This window comes from Homo sapiens, chromosome 15, assembly GCF_000001405.40.
Source record: "Homo sapiens chromosome 15, GRCh38.p14 Primary Assembly".
Taxonomy (NCBI): domain Eukaryota; kingdom Metazoa; phylum Chordata; class Mammalia; order Primates; family Hominidae; genus Homo; species Homo sapiens.
In genome coordinates this window covers 99,012,821-99,038,521 of record NC_000015.10, presented here as the reverse complement: position 1 = coordinate 99,038,521, position 25,701 = coordinate 99,012,821, and the positions used below count along the sequence as shown (strand labels likewise).

Genomic DNA, 25,701 nt, shown 5'->3' with positions numbered 1-25,701 from the left:
CTTCTTTTTTCCCCTTTCCACACAGATTCCAAAATCATAAAGATCTTGAGGTTATTGGTGGTTTGTCCACATATCCACTTGTATTTTAGGGTTTTTGAAGATATCTTGTCACAGTTTTTTGTAATTGTTGTTTGCTAATATGTGGAGATTCAGTGCAAGAAAAGAGCTGTCACCACTACAATTCCCCTCATCTCTCTCTCTTCTTTTAACCTCACAAGAAACTATGATTATTTTATACAGTCAATGTTTATTTAGAATTGGCTATATATTCTTTCTTGCTTCTTCATTCCTTCTTTATCTTCTTTCTGGGACAAATTTCTTTCTGCCTTTAGAATTTTTTTTTTAATAAAAGTCCACCAGTGGTGAAGTCACAGTTTTTGTTTCTGAAAGCAGATTTTTGTTTGTTTGTTTTGCTCTTATACTTGAAAAATGTTGTCTTTAAGTATAGAATCCTTGGTTGGCAGCCATTTTTTTCATTCTACTGAAGATATCATTCCACTATCTTATGACTTCCATTCTTACAGCTGATAAGTTAGTTGTCAGTCTGTCACTCCACTAAAGGAAGTACATCTTTTTACTCTGACTCCTTTATGACTTTCTATTTATTTTAGGTGTGCTGATGTTTCACTACAATGTATCTAGATTTTCATTTACTTATCTTGCTTTGAATTCATTGTTAAATTCATTATGGAATGATTCATTATTGAATTATCAGCCATAATCTTTTAAAATAATGCCTCTGTATCATTCTCTCCCTTCTCTCTTCAGGGACTCTGCTTAAACGTATGTTAGATCTTCTCTGTTTATCTTCCATGTCTTGTAACTTCTGTTCTGTATGTTCATCTTTTTGTTCTGCATCCTGGAAAATGTCTTCCAGCATATCTTCCATCTTATTAAATTCTTTCTTTGGCTATGTCTAGAATGTTTTTACATGCATCTATTGAGTTCTTCATTTCAATTCTTGAACTTTTCATTTGTAGAAATTTTATTTAGTTCTTTTTCAAATCTTCTATCATACTCTATAGTTTCCTATTCCCTATATACATTTTTAAAGCTGTCTTTAATCTTTAAATGTAGGAAGCATATTTGTTTATGATCTGTGTTTGACAGATCTGAAATATGAAGTTCTGAAATATGAAGTCTTTAAATGTTTCTATTTTGTATTGTTTCTTATTTTCTCATTCACAATGTCTATTTTCCTATGTGCTTGATTATTTTTAGTGTATGCTGCTTTTTGTCACTAAAAACTATTTGTAGGAATAATTTGAGATCTAGAAGGAAGTACTCTCACAAGAGGATTTGTGTTTGTTTCTGTTGAGTATCTCAAATCACTACAGTCTGAGTTTCTTTCAAATGAGGTTCACAGCTAGCAGGGGTTTAGTGCTCTCAAAAGGTGATACTTTGAGCTTCAAATTCATTCAACCCATTGGTTCACTTCTGGATCACCTATACCTGGAGAGCGTATCCCTTTGAGGTCCCAGCTTATTTGGGAGATGGCTTCTTATGGTTTTGATTTCTATTCCTCTTTCCCCATGACCCTGGAAAATCTAATGTTCCTATGTGCCTAGATCAGCAAGTGCCCTGAGAACAAAGGTTCTTAAGCTTCTCAATTTTCCATCAATTTTCAATTACCTAGGAATTCCTAACTATGTTGCCAATTTCTTGATATTTTAAGAAAAGTTTAAAAAATATATTGTGTCCAGCATTTCTATATGTTTTCAGCAGAGAGTTACTCTGAGTAACCTAGTTCATCACTTGTACACCAAAGGTTCCACTTGTCCATTTTGTTAGAGTTAGTTTACTTAAAACTAAGTACTATAATTTGTGAAGCTGCTTTATTTCATACACTCAGACAGCAATGTATTATGATGAGACCTCCCTCTCTTTCCCCAGGATTCCTGGTACCTTACACACCAGAGACGTTTGACCAAAGGAGAGCAATGACATTACCTACGTATTAGATAGTAGTAAAAATGAATTTCTTCTTCATATTTTACTTAAAATCAAAACAAAAAATGTAATATTTTCTTCCAAATCCGAAAAGATCATCTCATGCGTCCCTTTCTGAAATTGGGTTCTGTTAACTGAGGGATCCTATGATTCTATTAAAACCTGCTCCAGTAAACAGATATGCTGTCAGAAATGTTTAGTAGTTCCTGATCCCAGCTCTTTCCTTGACTGCAGGAGATCCTGGTCAGCTCATTTAAACTTCCTTTCTTTGGGCTGGGCTCAGTGGCTCATGCCTGTAATCCCAGCACTTTGGGAGGCCAAGGCGGGTGGATCACCTGAGGTCGGGAGTTCGAGACCATCCTGGCCAACATGATGAAACCTCATCTCTACTAAAAATACAAAAATTAGCTGGGCATGGTGGCATGTGCCTGTAATTCCAGCTACTCAGGAGGCTGAGGAAGGAGAACTGTTTGAACCAGGGAGTTGGAGGTTGCAGTGAGCCCAGATGGCGCCATTGCACTCCAGCCTGGTGACAGAGCGAGTCTGCGTCTAAAAAGAAAAAAACAAATTAGAGCAACTCTGCTACAGTTGTTTCATTTCTAGTAATTTTTAGGTGGCCAGCCACAAAATTCTTACTGAGGCTGAAAGATGAGTTTGTTACAGGACAAATGTAATATAGCTATTATGTCTCAAGTTAAATAAAAGAGGGAAGGAATTTGGCATAGGTTCTGGATTATATGCTACACTTACTGCCCTATTTATTTAAAAAAATCTGAAATCATTAAGCATAAAGGCAGGCATATACATCTTACCAAGGTGTTACTTCGGGATTAAAGCTGAGATTTTCCTTTCCCCTCAAAGACATTCTTTGCTTAGACTTTTTTATTATCCTAACAAGGAAACAAGACTTTTTTTTCTTATCCTAACAAGCCTGGAAAATGTCCTTGCTTGATCTTCAGTGCTTAAGAGTGGACATGGGTTTGTGGTGTGCTTTGCTTTCTCAAGGAAAATGTAGGTATGCCATATTGCATTGATTTTCCTTTTCTTCTCTTCACTTTTTCTATGATCTAGTTTTCACAACTCAAGCTTCCATTTAGAACCTGGAAGGAATTCTGTTGCTTTAAGGCAAGCATAAAAATTTGGAATGCATTGCTCTAACTCATCTCCAGAGTCTTTGGGCAAAAGAGTTTCCCAGTGCCCAGGCTGGGTCGGAATGCTCTTTGGTCCTAGACTCCTGGCTGCAGCAACATCTCACGTAAGGGGTTGCAAGTCACCTGCCCCTGCTCCCAAATTTCTGGCTTGTGAGAACGCTTAGAGAACACTGCTCCATCACACTGAGCAGGACAGGCTTCTCTTGGGCTCATCCTACTTCAGTCATTTTTCTTTCTACACCACATTTTCGGATCCCTTTTTTTTTTCGTGCCTCAGTGGGTAGACTGGTGGGTTTCCAGGATTCTTGAGAAAGGTGTCAGCCACCATCTGTTTTCAACTCGGGAACATGAGAAGCTAGCTTGACATTGGTGCGAGATTGTGGTGGGACTCAGGCGCAGAGAGGGATGTTCACATCCTCTCTAGCATCTGATTTCAACAGCAGCGAAATACCAAGCAAGCGGGGCCTCATTGCTTTATGCTGGGGCTCCTTTTGGGGAAATCAGAACTGCATAGGAATCCATGAAAATAATGAAAACCACAGCTTCATTTCTGCTGTGATAGATGATCAAAGATAACCATTTGTTTCCATCTGCCCCACCTCTCTCTTCTCCTACTCCCAACACTCCACAGACTAGAAGAATGAACTGATGCAGTGTGTTTTTCTTTCTGTTCCTGTGGAGTCACCACTCCAGCACCAATGAGTTGCCCCAAATAACAGGTATAGAGAGATAAGGGCAGGGTGGTTTGGAGCCTGCTATACACATGCATCAGGTACTGTCCTGCCCATGGCACTAGGGCCATACCTCCTCAACAGGGGCAACACTGCTAACAGGTAAAAAAAAAATCGATCCGGGGTGGGACGGTGGGGACAAAAAAATTTGCATATTTTAATGGTTTGGGTCCCTCCAAAGGGACACAGAACATAAACAGATCTACAGTATATCTGTGGTACTAAAATTTCATGGGGAGTGGAGAAGCAATTAGAAAGAAAATGTTCAAAAAAGCTACTTAGGGGCTGGGTGCAGTGGCTCATGCCTGTAATCCTAGCACTTTCGGAGGCTGAGGCATGTGGATCACCTGAGGTCAGGAGTTCAAGACCAGCCTGGCCAACGTGGTGAAACCCTGTCCCTACTAAAAATAAAAAAATTAGCCAGGCGTGATGGTGTGTGGCTGTAGTCCCAGCTTCTCAGGAGACTGAGGAAGGAGAATCGCCTAAAATCTGGGAGGCGGAGGTTGCAGTGAGCCGAGATCATGCCTCTGCACTCCAGCCTGGGCAACAGAGTAAGACTCCGTCTCAAGAAAAAAAAAACAAAACAAGAACAAAAAAAAGCATTACAATTGTTCTTTTAATGTCTGTCTCTCCAGTAGATTCTAAACTTCTTGAGAGCAAAGTCCAGTCTGTTCTGTTCTTCACTTAATTCACAGGCACCAGCACCCTGCCTGGCACCTACTAATACTCAGTTGCTACTTGATTCATGAAAAGATGAATGACTTGGGCCCAGAATTAAGTCTCTGTGAGATTTTGGGGGAGTGATCACATGACCTCTTAAGTGCTAATTCCTTCTGTGTAAAGTGAAGCTAATAAATAATGTAGACCTCCCAGGGCTGATAGAGGATGAACTGAATATACAAAAGAATTTAGCAGATAGTGCCTGTAATCCCAGCTACCTGGGAGTCTGAAGCAGGAGAATCGCTTTAACCCAGGAGGCAGATGTTGCAGCGAGCTGAGATAGTGCCACTGCACTCCAGCCTGGGTGACAGAGTGAGACTCCATCTCAAAAAAAAAAAAAAAAAAAAAAAAAGCTACTTAGGGGTGGCAATGATTTAATTAAAAAGATCAAGAAATAGTGCTGGGCTAGGCGTGGTGGATCACGCCTGTAATCCCAGTACTTTGGAAGGCCAAGGTGGGCAGATCACCTGAGGTTGGGAGTTCAAGCCTGACGAACGTGGAGAAACCCCATCTCTACTAAAAATACAAAATTAGCCAGGCGTAGTGGTGCATGCCTGTAATCCCAGCTACTTGGGAAGCTGAGGCAGGAGAATTGCTTGAACCTGGGAGGCGGAGGTTGTGGTGAGCCAAGATCGTGCCATTGCACTCCAGCCTGGGCAACAAGAGCAAAACTCTGTCTCGAAAAAAAAAAGAAAGAAAGAGTGCTTTGGATTCCACTTTTTCATGTACCCCAGATGATCCCAAACTACTGGGATCTGTATCTTTGTCCATGAAGGTTTTCCCTTCATTCCCCAGAATCTGTCAACCAGCAAGAGACTGGGGTTGGTGTATAAATACCCCAACTCCCTCGCACCTGGGCTGCACTGGGCAATTCTGAAGCAGATGTTTCCCAGAGTTTGCCAACAGGACTGAGTTCTGGTTGCCCCCTGTGGCTGCTCCTGAGGAAGGTACTCTGTATTTGCTGCCTTCTTTTTAGCGTCTCACTTCCCCCCTTTCTTGCTGATTTCCCTTCACCTCCCAAGTAAACCATCTGCACTCAAATCCCTGTCTCAGAGTCTGCTTCTGTGGAAGCCTAAACTAAGATTATGTGTGTGTATGTGTGTGTGTGTATATTAAATGATTTGTAACTTCACTAAGTAAAAGAGAGCCCATGCATGAGAAGATTGTAATTAATCTAATTCTATGAATCTGAGATCCACTAAAAAAAAGTTTTCAAAGCATAGACTCTGGAGCCACACTGCCTGGCTGTGTACACAGGCCCTATTCTCACCAAGACAGCAGAAAGGCAAGGCAGCAAGAAAAGTTCTGCTAGGACTTTTTGAACTGGAAGTCACCTTTTGCATGACTAAAAGGGATGAGACAGGTCGGGTGTGGTGGCTCACGCCTGTAATCCCAGCACTTTGGGAGGCTGAGGCGGGCAGATCACCTGAGGTCAGGAGTTCGAGACCAGCCTGCCCAACATGGCAAAACCCCATCTCTACTAAAAATACAAAAAATTAGCTGGGCCTGGTGGTGGTCGCCTGTAATCCCAGCTGCTCGGGAGGCTGAGGCAGGAGAATCGCTTGAACCTGGGAGGTGGAGGTTGCAGTGAGTCGAGACTGCGCCACTGCACTACAGCCTGGGCGACAAGAGCAAAACTCTGTCTCAAAAAAAAAAAAAAAAAAAAAAGGCCCAGACATTGGGCTATCTGGGCTAATGAGCTATTATTGTATTAATAGTCTAATAATTTAGTGTCTACTCAGAGCAATCTCACAGCCCTACCTTTGGGATTGAAAGATCCCCATCTCCAGTAAAATCCACAGCCAGTACCTTCCTTATAACCCACTGGGCTACTGAACCCAGACTCAGAATTATTAAACAGGTAGGCACAGGCCTAATGTCATAAACTCTATTGAGCAATAGATCCCTGTGGCAGGAGAAAAATTCTCCATGCTTCTTTTCTCTCGGTTTGCAGCAACAGTGCAAATGTGGGTGATGGCCTTCAGACAAAGCTTTAAAAGCCAGAGAACCCAACTGCAAGAGGAGGTCAGGACCCTTCCCTTCCACGGTTGAGCTTCCAAAGAAATGTTTTGCTCTACTGTAGTTCTGATTTTGACGTGATTTATTTGTGAGTCAGAGATCCCATGAGCTGATAAAATGTTTAATACCTCTATGAAAACCTACATGGTAATTTCCCTTTGTACCTGAGCATTTCCATTTAGACTTTTACTCCACATAGACTGCTTATTAGAGAATGGAATCACAACCCACGTAGCCCTCTCTTCTCCCTGTTCACCTCCTAATTGAAGGCCTCAATTTCCTCCGCACATACTCTAATACTGTGCCTTCCTTCCCATTATCTTGTGACTTTTTCTTTCTCTACTCCATCTGGCCATCACCACACTAACTCCACATGAGCAAACCTTCTCTGAAATAACTATTTCCAAAAGAACAGGTGCTGGTGAACTTTTTCCGTAAAAGGCCAAATAGTAAATAATTTACATCTTGGGCCGGGCGTGGTAGCTCACGCCTGCAATCCCAGCACTTTGCGAGGCCGAGGCAGGTGGATCACCTGAGGTCAGGAGTTCGAGACCAGCCTGGCCAACATGGTGACAAGCCATCTCTCCTAGAAAAATACACAAATTAATTGGGCGTGATGTCCGGAGCCTGTAATCCCAGCTCCTCAGGAGGCTGAGGGAGGAGAATCGCTTGAACCTGGGAGGCAGAGGTTGCAGTGGGCTGAGATCATGCCACTGCACTCCAGCTTGGGTGACAAGAGTGAGACTCTGTCTCAAAAAAATAAATAAATAAATACAAAATAAATAAATACATAAATAAAATAATTTAGGTCTTGTGGATCCATATGGTCTCTGTTGCGACTACTCACCTCTGTCTCGGTAGCACAAAAGCAGCCACAGACAACACATACACAAATGTGGCTTTTTTCCAATAAAGTTTTATTTACAAAAGCAGCGGTGGGTCAGATTTGGCCCGTGGTCTGTAGTTTGTTGAGCTCTACCAGGGAACAACAAAAACAAACAAACAAAATTAATCATCCCCCAGCTCCACTTAACAAGGTCTTAACAAATTGTCTTGCTTTTTTCTTAATGACTTTTCTATGCAATACCATGTACCAAAGAATTTCTATATTTACTTCTAAAGCCGCTTTGAGACACAGCCAGTGTTGTACAGCAACGTTCTCTATATATTCACCATACTTTGTCCGTTGAAAGCAATAATTAGGGTCCTCGTATTCATGCGTTCATTTCATAAAAACCACACACTGGCCCCCAAGGTCACACCCGTGGGTACATTCATCAGTGCTTCTTATTTCATTTTTCTTCTCACTGCGTACATATAATTTCGTTTACCACACTGGGCACAGTAACAAGGCTTTTCTCCAGCATGGACACACAATCCAAAGAAACAGGCAAATATTGGCTGTACTAACTTTGGCCTAAGGCATCTGTATGGAAACTTCAGAACAGAAATACAATTTCTCTGGTTTTGTCCCCTCTCCGAGTCCAGCTGTGCACAAATTACTTGTCATTGTGGTGACACAAATAAGACTTCATTAACATGGCCATTCTGATCCTGGTAAACAAGTTTATTTACACTTGAGCACTGCTAAAGAATAAAGTCACAGAGAGAAGTTCATGGTAGGTGGCCCTGCCTTTAACACCGAGGCCGACTTTGACAAAATCCCTGCACCTCGCTTAGACAAGCTGCTATTCAGCTACCAGGGGTTCATGAAAGTTCGGGGTAGGTCCCTGTTAAAAGAGGATGACAACACTTGTAATCAAGGCTGGTCACATCTGTATTTAACGACCTGTGTCAGTGCTGTTTCTAGTGTTGTGTTTTTTTTTCTCTCCCAAACTCCTTGTTCCTTTGCTCTGCCAGAGGGTATAAAAAGGATAAACCAGGTTTATCTTCAGGGATACGTGATGGCTGGTTAGTTATCAGTTAAATTGGGTTTTGTTTGACTCATAACTAGATAGTGAGTAGTCCTCAAAGATGACAAAACCTGGGAAGATATGATTATCTGGGATTGTGAGAAAGAAAAAGTTGAATCATCCCACTGTGAGAAAACAGTAGGGGGATGTCTCTTTCTTCGGAAGCAGCGTGCACGTCGCTCACAGGTGACAGGAAAGCTCCGTCAAATGTTCAGCCTCCTTCCTAAGGCGGGGCTGGTGGGTCTCACCAAGGAAAAGCAGAGGGACGTTCAAGTTCCCAATGCTGCATGTGCTGGGAAAATATGCCGTGGGGGATGCAAATGTGGAGGCAGGTCCCTGTGATGACCTGGTCTGCATACGGGAGAACCGAGCTGGGCAGAATGAGCTCATCTTCCCTCCTGAGCCTCCTGGCCCAATGCCAGGCTCTTCCTCTGGGACAGCCAAGCCTGTCCTGCTCCCAAGTTTCTTGGGGGCAGCCAGCGGCTGGCATCCCATCATTCTGGGAACCGAAAGAAACCCATGTCTGTGACAGCTCACAGCCAGATGCCAGAATGTTCCCTCCAGGGACTCACTGGGTAAGGGCAGGCTCCAGGAAGACAGGAGACAGGGCAGACAGAACACCTGATATTCACAGAGTACTGACCACACCCTGTGAATGGAGATACGTGCCTTAGGTCACGCAGCTGCATGCCATCGAATCAAAATTACAGGAGACTCTGGTGGTGGTATTATCCACACACCAGGCAGGATGGCTTTCTCCTCTCATCCTTTTCCTGGGAGGTTGGCTTCAGCTAGAAGAGGTAGAGACTTGTATAACCTACTTGGACCATACCCTGCAATAGAGGAGTTGGTACCAGCCAAAGAAAAGTTTATGTGTCTGGGTGGGGTTCTGCTTGTGAGCCTCTGAAGCCACCTCCCCACAATTTCTGCAGAAGAAAAACTCGATCCAATTGGAATTGGCCTTGAGCTGGGAATCCTTTGTTAGGGAGGGGTGGCAGGTTGTTGGGGTTAACAGAGAGAGATTGGGAGAATGTTGGAGGAGGAAAATGAGGGACAGTGCCAAAGAGGGTGGACCCCAGATGCACATCTCAGGTAAACTCTGTTTGAGCTAATACATACTTAACAGGTACATTTAAAAACAGAACCTGCACCATCCTTTAGCTTCTGGGGGACCAGGTGCAGTGGCTCACGCCTATAATCCCAACAATTTGGGAGGCCAAAGCAGGAGGATCGCTTGAGCCCAGGAGTTCAAGACCAGCGTGGGCCACACTGGTAAACCCCTTCTCTACAAAAAATGTTTAAATTAGCCAGGCATGGTGGTGCATGCCTGTAGTTCCAGCTACTTGGGAGACAAAAGTGAGAGAATCGCTTGAACCTGGGACGTCAAGGTTGCAGTGAGCCATGAACATGCCATTGCACTCCAGCCTGGGTGACAGAGCGAGACCCTGTCTTAAAAAACTAAACTAAACTAAACTAAACTAAACTAAACTAAACTAAACTAAACTAAACTAAACTAAACTAGACTATGGGAGGATGTGTGATCATCTGACAGCAAGATTCCTTTCTGATGACAGACCAGACCAATGCTATGGGCACAGACACAGGGTTCCATCCATTTACAGGTGGTACCCGAGGCTCTGACACTGTCAGGTGCCCAAAAGTTTACTCGCCCGGAGATGGGTCACACCCCACCTTGTTTCCACGTCAGCAGAACAGCCAGTAAGTCCACAGGATTTGACTGAGCATCCTAAGGACTGGGTTTAACAGCAAAAGGGAGTCTGTAACTGGTATACAGGCAAGGTTTCAAGCCCCAAGGAGCTTTCTGTCCTTGACGAGATCAACCAAATAGTCTCTTCATATGATAATAACAGTTCACTGGATACTTCTACACGCTCTGCTGTATGTACTACGCACACTTTAACTCACTAAATCCTTGCAACAGTGCTGTGTAGGTAGTGCTATTATTGTCCTCTTTTTAAAGATGAGGAAACAGTACAAAGAAGTTAGATTATTTGGACAAGTTACACACCTCATTAAGTGTCAGGGCTGGGATTCTAACTGAGACCAAGGGCTCCAGAGGTGTGCGAGAATGAAGCAAGAGAGCTGCAATCACTTCCAAAGATAACCACATTGACAGAGGGCTTTCCATTCCATATGCTTCATCCTTGTAAGATAGGAAGAGGCTTCATCTTTCAAATGAGGCGCCTGAGTATCAGGGGAGTGATATAACTTGGAAAAACTCACGTACCTGGTAGCTTGGCAGAGGTGAGATTCAAGCTTGGGTCTGTCTGGTTTGCAGCTTGTTCTCTTTCCACCACTCTACTGTTGGCCAATTTAGAGGAAGATTGGACTCCCTTAGCCTTTCTAGTTTCCGTGATGTCTGGTTCCTGGGAGATTTCTAGAGCTATGAGCATTTACTCCCACTTGTGAGCAAGGCAAGAGTTCTCATGAGTTGAGGTCTAATCATGGAAGGCTAAAGGGAGGATGAGATTGTTAAGGCTTGGTTGGAGGCAATACCCTGGTTCATAACCAAGTGTTACGGTCACCCTGCCATTAGTAAGACCAGCTTCCAACTACAATGAATGGATTGGGGAAAGGTTATTTCATATCTGAGGTTATTTCATTTTAAAACCCACAGGTGTCAAGTAGTGTTTTTGGAAAGTGTAGAGATGAAATTCTAAAAATGTCATCTGGGAAGATGACAACTAGAAAGGCCACCGTAATGAACACTGCCAGTAAGTCATCACCTGCTAATTGAGTCATCTGTGAAGTTAATGCAGATTTGTGCATATCAGGGTGCCCAACCTTTCTAGGCAGAAGGATTATTACCTGAAGTAACCTGGGTTGGAGGCAGAGAATGTGACTTGTAATGGGCCACATCTGGAGGTGGCCCACTCAATTATACTCAAATGCTATTGGCTAGGAATTATTCTAAGCTCCAAGGAAGGCTAGGGAATGTAGCCTAGCTGTGTGCCCAAGAAGAAGAACAGACAGGACTGGAGACCAGCCTCTGCTACAAGGACTCAGGCTCCGTTCAGCTCCTTAGTGGCATGTCACCCTCAGAGTTTAGCCCTTGATCGAAAGTGGCAGCCAGCAAAGCTGCTTTCTACATGGCAACCTGAAGAGCCACTGATTAAATCCTGGGTATAAGGCATCACTTTCTAAATAATGAATCTCTTGGGTCAGTTTATATTTTTGCATCCACAAGATGGAGGAAAGAGAAACAAAACAAAACAAAACAAAACAAAACAGCAGTTAGGAGAGGGGCATGGAACAGATTCTCCTGCACAGCCCTCAGAAGGAAATATGAGTGCCCCACCTCCAAATGCCTGGAACCAACCCTACTGACACATTAATCTCAGACTTCTGACTCAAGAAAGGTGAGACAATAAAATGATCAACATTTAAGCCACCCAGTTTGTGGTATTTTGACATGGGGGCCCGAGGAAATTAACATACCTGGCCTGGCTTCAGGTTTTGGGAAGCCAAGATGGACAGATCGTTTGAGCCCAGGAGTTCAAGACCAGACCAGGCAACATGGAGAAACCCCATTTCTACAAAAAATAAAAAAACTAGCTGGGCGTGGTGGTGTGCACCTGTGGTCTCAGCTACTTGGGAGGCTGAGGTGGGAGGATCACCTGAGCCAGGAGGTCGAGGCTGCAGTGAGTCATGATCACACCAGTGCACTCCACCCTGGGTGACAGAGTGAGACCCTGACTCAAAAAAAAAAAAAAAGTCCACTGTAAGGGTTCCTCCACAATAGGCATCTTTCCTCCACGTAAGTCAAGCCCATTGTAGACTCTTGTAAGAATTTGTTAAATAAACCATTTAAAGACCTGTGTTCAAGGGGCTGGGCATGGTGGCTCATGCCTGTAATCCTAACACTTTGGGAGGCCGAGGTGGGTGGATCACTTAATGCCAAGTGATCAAGGCCATCCTGGCCAATGAGGTGAAAACCTGTCTCTACTAAAAATACGAAAATTAGCGGGGCATGGGGGCAGGCACCTGTAGTCCCAGCTACTCAGGAGGATGAGGCAGGAGAATTGCTTGAACCCAGGAGATGGAAGTTGCAGTGAGCTGAGATTGAGCCAGCCTTGCCCCAGCCATGCAGACCAGGGCTCCTCAGCTAGTCTCAGCTCTTGGTCCATCTTTACCTTGGCCTTCCCCATTCCAGCTCCACCCCACTCACCCCCACTCTGCCCAGCTACCCTCCCTTTGTTGCCCCAGATCTCTTTCCCTAAAACCCTGCAAGTTCTGCTGCCAACACAGCTGGTGTTGATCCCCGTATTCAAGAGCCACACATTCACTTTCAGAATCCACCTCTCACAAAAGAGTTCACAACCAGTGAGTGAGTATTTTAGGGGAAGCCAGAACCTCTCACCAACCCTTAGGCTTTATTTGCACAACAACATGAAATAGAGTTGAGTATCCTTAGGGTAGATGAACATTGACGGTCACACTGAAAAATCAGATCAGTTTCTTAGGGGAAGGAGGCAATATTTTTTCCCAGAAACAAAGCAAAGGGTGGGCTCTCAGCACTCTCCCTGTTTAGAATGTGTGGATATGGCTTTTGTGCCTGGGCCGTCTGGTTAACCTACATCTTCCAGCCTTTCTGGGCCATCAATGTAAGAAGCCCCCATCATTATCTACAAAGTACTTTTTGGTAACTGAAATAAGTGAATTTCATGAGGGAGAAACCTAGGTAACAAGCAAAATAAAAAGGCATGCAACTAGTCTGACCATATCCAAAAGGGAAGTCCCATTGCTGGAAAGCTCCCAGGATGCCCCAGCAGAGGTACAACTGCCATGTGCCCCTGGCTTCTCAGGGCAGCCACAATTTCAAAGATCCGCTCCCACTGCAGTCCCAGCACTCTGGGAGGCCAAGGCAGGCACCAAGGTCACAAGATCGTTTGTGACCTGGTGTTTGAGACCAGCCTGGGCAACATGGTGAAACCCCATCTCTTAAAAAAAAAAAAGTACAAAAATTTAGCTGGGTATAGTGGTATGTACCTTTAGTCCCAGCTACTAGGGAGGCTGAGGTGGGAGGATAGCTGGAGCCCAGGGGTTGAGGCTGCAGTGAGCCACGATCATGCCACTGAACTCCTGGGTGAGTTCAGACCGAGTACAACCCTATCTCAATAAATAAATAAATAAATATTTGTTCCCTTGAACACCCCAAGAATTCTCATACCCATGATTCATCTGGGTTCAGAAATATGGTCACCACAGATGCAGAAAACCCCTGCTCACCAGAGGGCACAGTAGAAGGAGGAGCACTAAAGCTGTCAAGGACGTTTGGAGAAAGAGCCACCACCTGATGGAGCTGCCAGATCTGGAGAGGGTAATGATCCCAAAGGCCCATACCTGCAGGGGAACAGGTCTTCTCCTCCAAACTGCTAAGCAAGTGCCATCTGGTTAAAATGAGCATCACAGGGAAACTAGAAATAGAAGAGAAGTTCCAAATGAACAATCCAGGAAGGCGGCATCCAGAGGACATCATCGTCCCTATCGGCCCCACTCCCTCCGCTGAGGGCGTGTGCATGAGTGAGGGAGATCAGTACCCAGGCCTCTGGCCCCCTCTTTCAGCATCAGCCTCCAGGGAGGGTGGAAAGCAGAGGGAGCCCCAGGAGGATGGCCCAGGAGCTGTAGCCTGGTAATGGAACTATGGGTGGGTCACAGGTTCCCCTCCTGGCTGGCCCAGGCTTCAGAGAGCAGTGAGAGGCCTTCTGTCTGGGCAGGTGCCTGTACCTCCCTGGTTTGCCCCCACCTGGGCTCCCAGTGCCCCTTCAAGTTTGCAGTTCCAGGAGTCATGACAACATGTGATCTTTAGTCCTAGGACCCACACTAGAAAATAAAAGAAAGAAAAAGGAAAGGAGGGGAAGGGAAGAGAAGGGAAGGGGAAGGGAAGGGAGGGGAGGGGAGGGAAGGGGGCGCGGTGGCTCATGCCTGTGATCCCAGCACTTTGGGAGGCCGAGGTGAGCGGATCATGAGGTCAGGAGATAGAGACCATCCTGGCTAACACCATGAAACCCCGTCTCTACCAAAAATACAAAAAATTAGCCAGGCGTGGTGGCAGGTGCCTGTAGTCCCAGCTACTCCAGAGGCTGAAGCCAGAGAATTGCTTGAACCCAGGAGATGGAGGTTGCAGTAAGCCGAGGTTGCACCACTGCATTCCAGCCTGGGTGACAGAGTAAGACTCCATCAAGAAAGGAAGAAAGAAAGGAAAGAAAGAAAGAAAGAAAACCAAACTAAACTGATTGAGCTGAAAAAAAAAAAAAAAGCTCACTGCAAGAATTTCATAATACACTCAGAAGTATTAACAGCAGAACACCAAGCTGAGGAAACAATCTCAGAACTCAAAGATGGGTTCTTTGGGTTAACTTGGTCAGACAAAAATAAAGAAAAAAGAATTTAAGGCCAGGTGCGGTGGCTCATGCCTGTAATCTCAGCACTTTGGGAGGCTGAGGCAGGTGGATCACGAGGTCAGGAGTTCAAGACCAGCCTGGCCAACATGGTGAAACCCCATCTCTACTAAAAATACAAACATTAGCCAGGCATGGTGGTGCGTGCCTGTAATTCCAGCTACTAGGGAGGCTGAGGCAGACAATTGCTTGAACCCTGGAGGCGGAGGTTGCAGTGAGCCGGGATCACGTCACTGTACTCCAGCCTGGGTGACAGAGTGAGACTCTATCTCAGAAAAAAAAAAAAAAGAATTTAAACGAACAACAACAACAAAAAAGAGGTGACAGTCAAGAAGAAATGGGAACAACAACAAAATCAACATGTGAATAAATCTAAGTTAAAATGCTGAGAATACAGAACACAAGCATCTAATCTGAGGAGCTAAAAAAGTCATAACAGAACTAAGGTGCTACAAACAGTAGTACACAAGGTGAGAAGGAGTAATTGGAGTATAAGCATTCTAAGAACATTATATTTTTCCAGAAAAAGCTTTAAAAATCATTGATTTCAAAATAAAGTGAAACATGCATATTAAGATTTCTAAGTTAGCTTCTAAAAGAATAGAAACATAGATATTAAATTTCAAAGGAGAGAGAAAAAAATGGGACTGGGGCAGAGGTGAAGGGAATCTCAACTCATTTAAAAGGCAAGAAACAGGCAGGGCGCCGTGGCTCACGCCTGTAATCCCAGCATTTTGGGAGGCCAAGGCAGGAGGATCGCTTGAGGTCAAGAGTTCAAGACCAGCCTGGCCAACATGGTGAAACTCTGTCTCTACTAAAAATACAAGTATTAGCTGGGCATCATGGTGGGCACCTGTAATCCCAGCTGCTTGGGAGGTTGAGGCACAAAAATCACTTAAACCCGGGAGGCGGATGTTGCAGTGAGCCGAGATTGCACCAATGCACTCCAGCCTGGGTGACAGAGCAAGACTCCGTCAAATAAATAAACAAATAAAAGAAGGCAAGAAATGAAGAGAAGATGATCTGCCAATAACCATATTTAAGTGTTATTCTTAAAAGCAGATATTCATCAACAAATAACTAGACTTTTCTTTTGGAGGAGAGATTTTTTTTTTACCCCAAGTATTTTTAAATATTTTAATAATATTTTAATTTAGTATTCATATATTATGAAAAAACAAAGCAATATCTTTCCTCCTGCATAGCTTAAAAAATTTTTTTTTCAAGATGTTCCAGCAGGTCAAATGTGGGCAGTATACGTGTATCACACAAATCACTTGTTGGGAAACATAAAGGTCAAAATGAATAACCAACCATAATTCGCTGTTTGAATATTATACAACTCTGCCACATACATGCACACACAAAAATAATCTGCTAAGTACCCATCTAATAGAATACAGCTGGACGGGGGGCAGTATTGGGAGGAGCTTTATGCAATGAAGACTCCGCAAAATCAACTTCATTGCAAAATGCAATGAAGAAATGAATGCAGCTTTCTCTATGTTAATGGAATTTACCAATTGTGGTTACAGACTCGGTTTCCAAAAAAAACACATTTATCTTAATTTCTGCAAGTAAAGGAAACCAAGTGGTCTATGAGGGTTTGGGCCATGGGAGCCTCTCCTCCACACACACATACACACACACACACACACATCACAAGGAGTTCCCCTCTTGCCCTCCCCAGGCACTCCCAGGCCTCAGCCTCAGGGCAGTTCCTGGTGGTTCTGTGGCTGCCCTGCTTTGGAAGAGCAAAGAAGCATGGAAAGTTTTCTGTGCCTTGAGAGTTAATAGGCATTGGTTTGAGCAGGTTCCTCTTAGGAGGGAAATGAAGCCATTGCCTGGGGATATAGAATGCAAAAGGTTTGAAGTGAGAAGGCACAGAGTGGACCAGAGAATGGGACAGGAAAGAAAGACAAGGAGAAGAGCAGTGGTGGGTGGAGGGACATGGCTGGATTTCAACAGTGGCCTTTGGATTCACGCAGCCTGTGTGCCCCACCTCTGCCCAAGCCTGCTGACTACTGGCCTAGGAAAAGCAAACCAACAACCACAGGTGGGCACACTAGAAGGCATGGCATTTCTAAACCACCACTGTTGTGTGCCAAAGTCCCAGACCTTCAGGTCCAGCAGGTGTCACTGACCTGCAACTGCTCCCCAGCCTTCCAGCAACCCTGACTTTAAAAGTCATGTGACCCCCGGGGCATCTGACCAAGCATTTACATTTTTCCCTAAAGTTTCTTTCTATACCACAAAACAGCCATTTTCTACAGTCCTCTGAATTTCCCAGGGCTGAGCTGTAAATCTGAATACCAGAGGAACCAGCAGCCAGCCAATGTCAGGAGCCCAGCAAAGGCCGGTCAGCTGGCCGCCAGACTAGGGCTTCAAAGTTCAAAACGACAACACTCAGCATCCACTGCCCTGCCACCACCCTATCCAAGTCTGGTCATTCACTCTGTCCTGCCAGGCCATGGCAGGACCCATGTGGAGAGGGACAGGACACCAGCCATCTTATGCTGTGGAGATCCCATTTCATACAGATATCCTACAGCCCCTGATGTGTAGAAAGGGGGTGATAAGAGCCATCTCTAGTGTAGATGCCACTACATGGCAAGGAATCACAACAGAAGATGGAAATACAGACGCCTTGGCCATCAGGGGAACTCACTGTGGACCCGGCCCTCCCAGGAAGAACAGGACCCCTGGAAAGACATTCTAGGGGATGGGCTGCCCAGAGCCCTGGCCAGGTGGTGGCAAGCCAGCTCGTCGATACACCCAATCACAAAAAAATCCCTCCTAGCAAACTTTCCTACAGCAGATAGACTATACTATCTGCTTGGGTGAGAAGTAACTGACAACCTCCATGGCCAGGTAGACTTTCAGAGGCCACCTCATCCTTTCCTTTCACACTGATGAAGGAATGGGAATAGTCTGTGGCAGTGTTATGAGTCCAAATATCCAGCCCAGTCCCTGCCCATGGTCCCCAGCGAGACCCTGCTCCCCAAGAACTGAAATCCCAGACGTGCTGGGTCCACGTTCCCCTACAGACACTTACACACCATGGACTAGAGAAGATCCAAAATGGCTGAAGACTATTTGGTTTGGGAGAGTTTTTTTGTTATTTTTTGAGATGGGGTCTCACTCTGTCACCCAGGCTGGAGTGCAGTGGTGCAATCTTGCCTCACTACAACCTCCACTTCCCAGGTTCAAGCAATTCTCGTGCCTCAGCCTCCCGAGTAGGTGAGATTACAGGTATGAGCCACTGTGCCCGGCTATATTTTGTATTTTTTTTGGTAGAGATGGAGTTTCACCATGTTGGCCAGACTGGTCTCGAACTCTTGGCCTCAAGTGATCCACCCGCCTCTGGTTTTTTAAAATTTTATGTCTACATGAGGTCATCTCTGAAGGAGTCCCCTTAGAAACTGAATCATAAATTATTTACTTTCTGGGCCTCTAATTTTTTGGAGGGGACCCCCACTTTTTGGAGGGGAGGGAGCATCCACTTTGAACCTCACCCTCATGACAGATTCCTTTCTCTGGGTGGAGTCAAACCGCCACCAACCCCATGGCCACACTGCCACTTACTATCCAGGTGACCTTAGGCAAGTTACTTCGTCTCTGTGCCTCAGCTTCCTCACCAGTGAAATGAGAATCATAACAATACAGTAGTCCCCCCTTATCCTCAGTTTTGCTTTCCGAGGCTTCAATTATTTGCAGACCGCCATAGTCTGAAAATATTAAATGGAAAATTCTAGAAATGAACAGTTGGAAAGTTTTTAATTGCATGTTGTTCTGAGTAGCATGATGAAATCTCGAGGCATCTGGATCTGTCCAACCGGAGGCATGAATCATCCCTTTGTCCAACGGATCCACGCTGTCAATGCTCCTTGTCTATTAGTCAGTGAGGAGCCATCTCAATGATCAGATTAATTGTCCTGGCGTCACAGTGCTTGTGTTCAAGTAATTCTTATTTAATCACTGCCCCAAAGCGTAAAAGTAGGGATGCTGGCAATTCAGAAATGCCAAAGAGATGCTGTGAAGTGATGCTTGCTTGCTTTCCTTCCTTCCTTCATATATGTGTGTATATATATGTATATGTATATATATATATATATATATTTTTTTTTTTTTGAGACAAAGTCTCTGTCGTCCAGGCTGGAGTGCCGTGGCACCATCACAGATCACTGCAGCCTCAACCTCCCTGGGCTCAGGTGATTCTCCCACCTCAGCCTCCCAAGTAGCTGGGACTACAGGTGTGTACCACCACACCTGGCCAATTTTTGCACTTTTTTGTAGAGACAGGGTTTCGCCATGTTGCCCAGGCTGGTTTTGAACTCCTGGGCTCAAGCGATCTGCCCACCTCGGGCTCCCAAAGTGCTGGGATTACAGGCATGAGCCACCATGCCCAGCTAGTAAAGTGTTTTCTTTAAGCGAAAAGGTGAAAGTTCTCAATTTAGTAAGGGAAGAAAGAAAGAAAAAATCCTATAATGAACTTGCTAAGATCTGCAGTAAAAACAAATTTCTATCCATGAAGCTGTCTGTGAAGAAAGAAAGAGAAATTCATGCCTAGTATATACAGGGTTCGGTCCTGTCCTCGGTTTCAGGCACCCACTGGGGGTCTTGGAACATATTCCCCTGGATAAGGGGGAACTTTTGGATCCATGTTTACTATTTATTGTTAAAATCATTTAAGGTAATGTAGGAAAGGGCTTAGCACCATACGTGGCATATAGTAAACTGTTCCTAAAGGTTAGTTTACTAAAAATGTATTCAAGCCTCCCCCACCCAAAAACACAAAGGAAAAGCCCCCTTCCCTAATGCTTCAAGCTCAGCCTCCTCCTTTTTCTTATTCCCACAAACCCTTTGGAAATGGCAGCTATGCCCAACCCTGTTCAACGTCCCGAGATATACCAACTCTCCCCTCCCTGATCTTTTTCTGGGCCTCTCCAAACCTGCACATGTCTCACTCTCCCTCAGCATCAGGCCCGCCCCTGGCCTCTTTCCTTTTTGGTCTCTCCTCCTTTGGAGCCTTGTCTCAAAACCAGGTCCTCAGCACTTCTCACTCTCTGAGCTTTCTGCCCCTGTCCTCAGCTCCTCTTCTCCTCTCATGCTCCAAAGGATGAGACAGCCTTTCCCGGGGTTCCATCTGCTCTGCTCGCTCTCCACTAAGTAACAGGGGGTCCCTCAGAGCTCAGGTGCAGGCACTGGCTTTTCTAGAATTAGCACTTAAATTCCCCCTAAGCTCGGGAGTTAGAGTTTTTGCCCAATTCTTCGTATCTGCAATGGGAGGTATACGTCCTGAAACACTCTGAAATCACTATGTCTCTATTGCACCATTTCCCCCGCTGAGAGCCAGTTCCTCTATGGGTGTCACCACTGTCCCTGTTCCCCGTCCCCAAACCCAAGCTTCTGAGTCACCCTCAATTTTCCTCCTCACCTGCTATCTTTCTAGTCTACTAGCCCTGTTTTTTTTTGTTTTTTTTTTTTTTTGAGACAGAGTCTTGCTCTGTCACCCAGGCTAGAGTGCAGTGGTGCCATCTCGGCTCACTGCAACCTCTGCCTCCCAGGTTCAAGCGATTCTCCTGCCTCAGCCTCCCAAGTAGCTGGGATTACAGGTACCCGCCACCAAGCCCGGTTAATTTTTGTATTTTTAGTAGAGACAGGATTTCACCATGTTGTCCAGGCTGGTCTCGAGCTCTTAACGTCAGGTGATCCATCCACTTTGGCCTCTCAAAGTGCTGGGATTACAGGCTTGAGCCACCGCACTGGCCCCTCTCTGCTTTATTACCAGTGTAAATTGTCAGAACACCCAACTTTTCCAAATTCAAACACTTAACTGACTTCCTAAATGAAGGTCATAACATACACAATTCTCACAAAGGCTTTGGTTTTGTATGTAAACAGAAGGGAGGAGGTCAGAACAAATGGCTTTCTCCACAATCTACTCTCAGTTTTGCCACGGGCCTGGCGGTCGGTTCTTATGCACACAGTCTCATCTAATCCTTACAAGGCAGGTTAAGTTCTTATAGATGTTGGAAGGCCAAGGTAAAGGATGAGGGTGGTAACAGAATCGGGCTGTGTCTTTCTTTTTTCTTTCCACTGCACTCCAAGCTGAAATGACAGCAACAGATGGTCTGGTGGAACCTAAGAAGGTCTGCAGCATCGGGGAAATTAAAAACACATACACACTCTGAGAAATCCAGAGACAGAGAGAGAGAGAGACAGACAGACAGAGAGACAGAGAGAGCATATGCATGTGTGTGGCCCTGGGGCAGGTCAAGAACTGAATTATTTGGGGTACTTCCAAAGCCTCTTCAGACAGCACGCCTGCCTCCTGGAAACCAGACACACCAACAGTGAGGAGCCCTATACAGACAGCACAGCTCCCAGGGGATGTCGTGCGCCTTTCGCTGTGTTTCAGCACTAGAGCGCCGCGGGACCTGGGATACAGCCTTACCGGAAAGCCTAATTCTTAGTTTCCTGCTTCCTTGCTACAGGAAATCAGATTCCCAAGTAGACATGATTTGCTCAAGCTCTTTTTGGAAAGAGGCTACCAAAGTTCAGGCAATGGTTCAGCTATGTAAAACTCCAGTCCATTAGGACGTAGCACATGTTGAAATGATTAATGTGCAACTGCTGTGTGTCATCTTGGCCATCAGTAACCATCAAAGCCACAGCAAAAGTTGAAATAAATACAGGAAAATCCTTTAACTGTTTTAAGCCAACTATACTTTTCCAGCAGATGAAATTACCATTACTTTTCCCATTAAAATGCAAGGAGACTGGGTAGAGTAAGACAGATCTCTAAAGCAATCCTTGGAAGGAACCCTCTGACTCATGAAATCACTCACAGGCCTAGGGGCAGGGAGGAGCTTCTGGGAGCACCTCGGTGTAATACTGCTCTACAATAAGCCCCTAAGTGGGCAGAATCTCCTCTATTTTGTAGATGAGGAAGATGAGATTCAAAGAGCAAATCACTTTTTTTCCTCGTCCTAGTTCTCCAACATGTAAACTGGAAACAGTACTTGCCATCCACAACCGTGAAACCCAACTTTCTAGAAAGAAGCATAGAGAAAACAATCAAAAAAGAAATAGTATCTCCCCTTCCAAAACGAAAGACAAAAAACCTTTCTCGGCCGAGCATGGTGGCTCAGGCCCATAATCCCAGCACTTTGCGAGGCCTAGGCGGGCGGATCACTTGAGGTCAGGAGTTCGAAACCAGCCTGGCCAACAAGGTGAAACCCCGTTTCGACTAAAAATACAAAAATTAGCCGGGCATGGTGACGGGCGCCTGTAGAAGCAGCTACTCGAGGGGCTCAGGCAGGAGAATTGCTTCAACCCGGGAGGGGGTGGGGGCGGGGCGGAGGTTTCAGTGAGATGAGATTGCGCCTTTGCACTCCAGCCTGGGTGACAGAGACTCTGTCTCAAAACAAACACACAAATAAACAAAAAACCCTTTCTCAATCTCTAGGCCAACTAAAACGTCCACGAAAAATGTAACTAATCCATACAATTGGCTAATCGCTACCTTCCCTCCTTAACTCGCCTAAAATCAGCAGAAAAGCAACTCTAAGTCACAGCTTTTAGAGCAAGTCATAAAAGAGCGTAAATCGCCTCTAAAGTTGCCTTCCAAGAAAAGGTAGAGGAGCCTTTATGAGATTTTTTGTTCCCTACCGAGACGTGTGGCGGGAGAAAGTGGCCAGTCTGCGGCTGAGCTGCTGCTGGGGAGGGCGGGCCACCTGCGGCCAGGGCGCCTAACGGGTCGGACTGGACGTGTAGGGGCCGGAACAGCCGGTCACCGCGCCCTCCTTCCCTCGGGAAACGGGTCTCATTCTCACACCCGGCCCCGCCACATGTCCCCACAAGGAGAAGGGAAGGGGCAGGAGGTAAAGAGGCACTTTCTCAGCATCCAAGGGCGCTACTCTTGCTCCTATCCGAGCACCTCAGGGGCTGGTGGGCTTTGGGGTGTTTTGTTTCACGTGCTTTCAGATTCAGAAGGTGCACCCGCTCTGCCTGGTTTTCTGGAGATAGGGCCAAGCATGGCACCCCCTGGGGCCCGGGAAGCGACAGGCTCGGGGACGCGCGCGCTCCAGGGCCAGAAATGGCACGAAGCCCGGGCTCCGGCGACCCCGACCCGCTCCACCTCTGCGCCCCCGACCACAGCCGAGGCGTCCCGGCGCAGGGAAGGTGGCGGGGGCGGAAGGGGCGCTGGCAGTAACCCGAGCGGCCGTAAAGAATTCTCCCCCACTGTGCGGTTCCCATTTCACAGACAAGACAGCGGAGACCCTGGGAAGGCAGGGACTTCCCCACGCTCCCGCGCCTGGGAAGCAAGCCCGGGTCAGTCCCGGCGCCCGGTGTCCCCGGGGGACCTCCGAGAGAAGCCGTGACCGAGGCCGGGCGCCGAGGCCGGGGCGCGCGTGGAGTTGATGCTGGCAGTGCCTCTTCCGGCTCCCCCGAGCATTTCCTCCCCCTTCTTCCCGGGAGGGACTTAAACGCTCCCGAGGGTGAGTGCGGGGGCCCCGCCGGCCCCGCACTCGACGTCCAGGCCCCCCGCTCGCCGGTCCGCCGCTGCAGTTCAGTCCCGAGGCAACAACAGGTGCGCGGCTCGCCGCACCCCGGCGCCGGCTCCGGGGAAAGTTTCCCTGGCCGCCGCGCGCTGTTTACGGGATCCTGTTGCAGCGCGCGGGCCCGGGGCTTTCCGGCAGGTCGAGCCATTGAAACCCGAGACGCGGGGAGGAGCTGTCGCTGCGCTCCGGGAGGAACGAGGGCGGCCCTGGGCCTGGCCAGAGCGGCTCCCCTTACCTGTGACTCAACAGGCGGCCTCAGCCTCCATCCTCGGGCTAGGCTGGCGCCGCGCCCCGCCCCGGAGGCTGTCCCTGTGCCCCTGGCGTCCTCCTCCCTCTCCCATTCCTCCCCAGGGGCTGCCCCCGTTCCCCGCTCCCCGGCCCCTTCCCCTCCCCCAGGGTCACCACCCAACAGTCTTCCCAGCTACCAACCCCTGGCTCCCCAGAGAGTTTGCAAAGATTGTGGGCTCCACCTTCCCACCTGATTCGCCACCCCAGGAGAATTTACTATTTCTCTTTCATTTGTGGGGAGAAGACACCGTTAACGCCCCCACCCCCCGCTCACACGCCCACCCTCGCCGGTGCCCCGGGCCTGAACGCGGCACATGTCAACCCCCTCCCACGCCCCTTCACACTTCTATTATTTCTGTTTCTTTGGACAAGAATCATTTGCGTTAACCTTTTTTGAAAACGTTCAAGTTTCACTCCAGTAAGCTTCCTAGAAGGAAGGAGGAGGTGAGGGAGGAGAGAGAAGGAAGAGGAGGAGGAGGAGGCTTTGGCTGCAGCGGCGGCGGGGGCGGCTTTTGAGGAGGCTGCGGCGGAGGCGGTTTTGGCGACTTTGGCGGCGAAAATTTAGACAGTTGAAAAATAGGCCAAAGCACACTGAACCTGCAGGACATCCCGTAATCTTTTCTGCCCATTTCAAAGTCTTTCCCTGTCCTCACCCAACTATTACAGGCCGCTTTTGCTGAAACCTGACAATGTCATTTAGTAAATGTTCAGCTAGTATTCATTTGAAATAGAAATAACCAACAGCAGGTAATTTCTTCTTGGCCTGTTTCTGCGTGTTATCCAAGGGGAGGTGGAATACAGTGGTGGTTTTAAAATGCCAGCAGCCTAGGAACCCAAAGGCCTCAGCAGCCTGGCACCTCCCCACCCCCCTGCGGCTCTTAGGGGCCGAAAGATTGAGGGTCGTGATCAACTCAGTATACCACTGGAGGCCACGTGAGTAAGCAGCAAACTGTTTCTCATGAGAGCAGGGTGTTGGCAAACTGACAACCTGTGTCTGCCGCCCAGAAGGACTGCTGAGGGCAGTCACCACCCAGGTGCAAGTGTTTAGGATTAGACACAACTGAAGCCTGTTAGTAATGAGAACTTGTGATAATCAAACAGCTGACCAGTCTTAGGGCCTCCTCCCTGCTCATTCTCCCAATGAATGCGAAGGGCTGTGGAAGCTCGGGGGGCTGCCTTCGCTCACTAGAAGCAGGGAGCTCCCTTCTTCCCGGTTTCCCCTTCCTTTAAAACAGATTTCTTTAATCATTTCTACGTTTGTCCTTTCGTTCAGTCCTGTAATGACGGTCTCAAGTAGTAACAATAACTGTCGTAGTGACGGTCTCAAGTAGTAACGGTAATAACTGTCATAGTGACGGTCTCAAGTAGTAATTGTGGCAGTCAGCCACAGGCACACAGGACTAAAGGTTCATTAATGTCTGCTGTAAAAATGTAGAATATATTTCTTCAAGGTCTGAAGTATACATTTTTTGATGTACGTTTTTGTTACATTTTTTAAAGTTCTCTTGTTTTTAAAAAATAACATGTATAGGGCCGGGCGCGGTGGCTCATGCCTGTAATCCCAGCACTTTGGGAGGCCGAGGCGGGCGGATCACGAGGTCAGGAGATCGAGACCATCCTGGCTAACACGGTGAAACCCCGTCTCTACTAAAAATACAAAAAAAATTAGCCGGGCGTGGTGGCGGGCGCCTGTAGTCCCCGCTACTCCGGAGGCTGAGGCAGGAGAAGGGTGTGAACCCGGAAGGCGGAGCTTGCAGTGAGCCAAGATCGCGCCACTGCACCCCAGCCTGGTCAACAGAGCGAGACTCTGTCTCAAAAAAAAAAAAAAATTACATGTATAGAGCTTGAACAGTTCTTTTAAAATATGTATGTGTGTGTGTGTGTATACAGTATATATAAAGAATAATGAACTGAAAAGTTCCCTGCTTCTCATTCAACTC

At 46.6% G+C, this 25,701-nt stretch overlaps 1 long non-coding RNA gene across 1 annotated transcript, besides 6 other annotated features; it reads right to left on the bottom strand.

Annotated features, from left to right (window-relative positions):
- Window positions 1-7,471: 7,471 nt before the first annotated feature.
- On the bottom strand, window positions 7,472-23,818 carry LUNAR1 (leukemia-associated non-coding IGF1R activator RNA 1). The gene is made up of 4 exons (NR_126487.1): window positions 23,709-23,818; window positions 13,849-13,922; window positions 10,733-10,957; window positions 7,472-7,546 (listed from the first exon to the last, which is right to left on the bottom strand). It is a non-coding gene; the product is annotated as a leukemia-associated non-coding IGF1R activator RNA 1 (long non-coding RNA).
- Window positions 22,469-23,244: an enhancer, noted in NCBI's record as "H3K27ac-H3K4me1 hESC enhancer chr15:99558507-99559282 (GRCh37/hg19 assembly coordinates)". NCBI's record gives its function as "activates a minimal SCP1, AML or CMV promoter by ChIP-STARR-seq in naive H9 embryonic stem cells {active_cell/tissue: H9 hESC(naive)}" and the evidence as "EXISTENCE:reporter gene assay evidence [ECO:0000049][PMID:30033119]".
- Window positions 22,630-22,759: an enhancer, noted in NCBI's record as "active region_10147". NCBI's record gives its function as "activates an Ori minimal core promoter by ATAC-STARR-seq in GM12878 lymphoblastoid cells {active_cell/tissue: GM12878}" and the evidence as "EXISTENCE:reporter gene assay evidence [ECO:0000049][PMID:35858748]".
- Window positions 22,950-23,009: a silencer, noted in NCBI's record as "silent region_6861". NCBI's record gives its function as "represses an Ori minimal core promoter by ATAC-STARR-seq in GM12878 lymphoblastoid cells {active_cell/tissue: GM12878}" and the evidence as "EXISTENCE:reporter gene assay evidence [ECO:0000049][PMID:35858748]".
- Window positions 23,080-23,149: a silencer, noted in NCBI's record as "silent region_6860". NCBI's record gives its function as "represses an Ori minimal core promoter by ATAC-STARR-seq in GM12878 lymphoblastoid cells {active_cell/tissue: GM12878}" and the evidence as "EXISTENCE:reporter gene assay evidence [ECO:0000049][PMID:35858748]".
- Window positions 23,370-23,449: a silencer, noted in NCBI's record as "silent region_6859". NCBI's record gives its function as "represses an Ori minimal core promoter by ATAC-STARR-seq in GM12878 lymphoblastoid cells {active_cell/tissue: GM12878}" and the evidence as "EXISTENCE:reporter gene assay evidence [ECO:0000049][PMID:35858748]".
- Window positions 23,610-23,709: an enhancer, noted in NCBI's record as "active region_10146". NCBI's record gives its function as "activates an Ori minimal core promoter by ATAC-STARR-seq in GM12878 lymphoblastoid cells {active_cell/tissue: GM12878}" and the evidence as "EXISTENCE:reporter gene assay evidence [ECO:0000049][PMID:35858748]".
- Window positions 23,819-25,701: the final 1,883 nt, after the last annotated feature.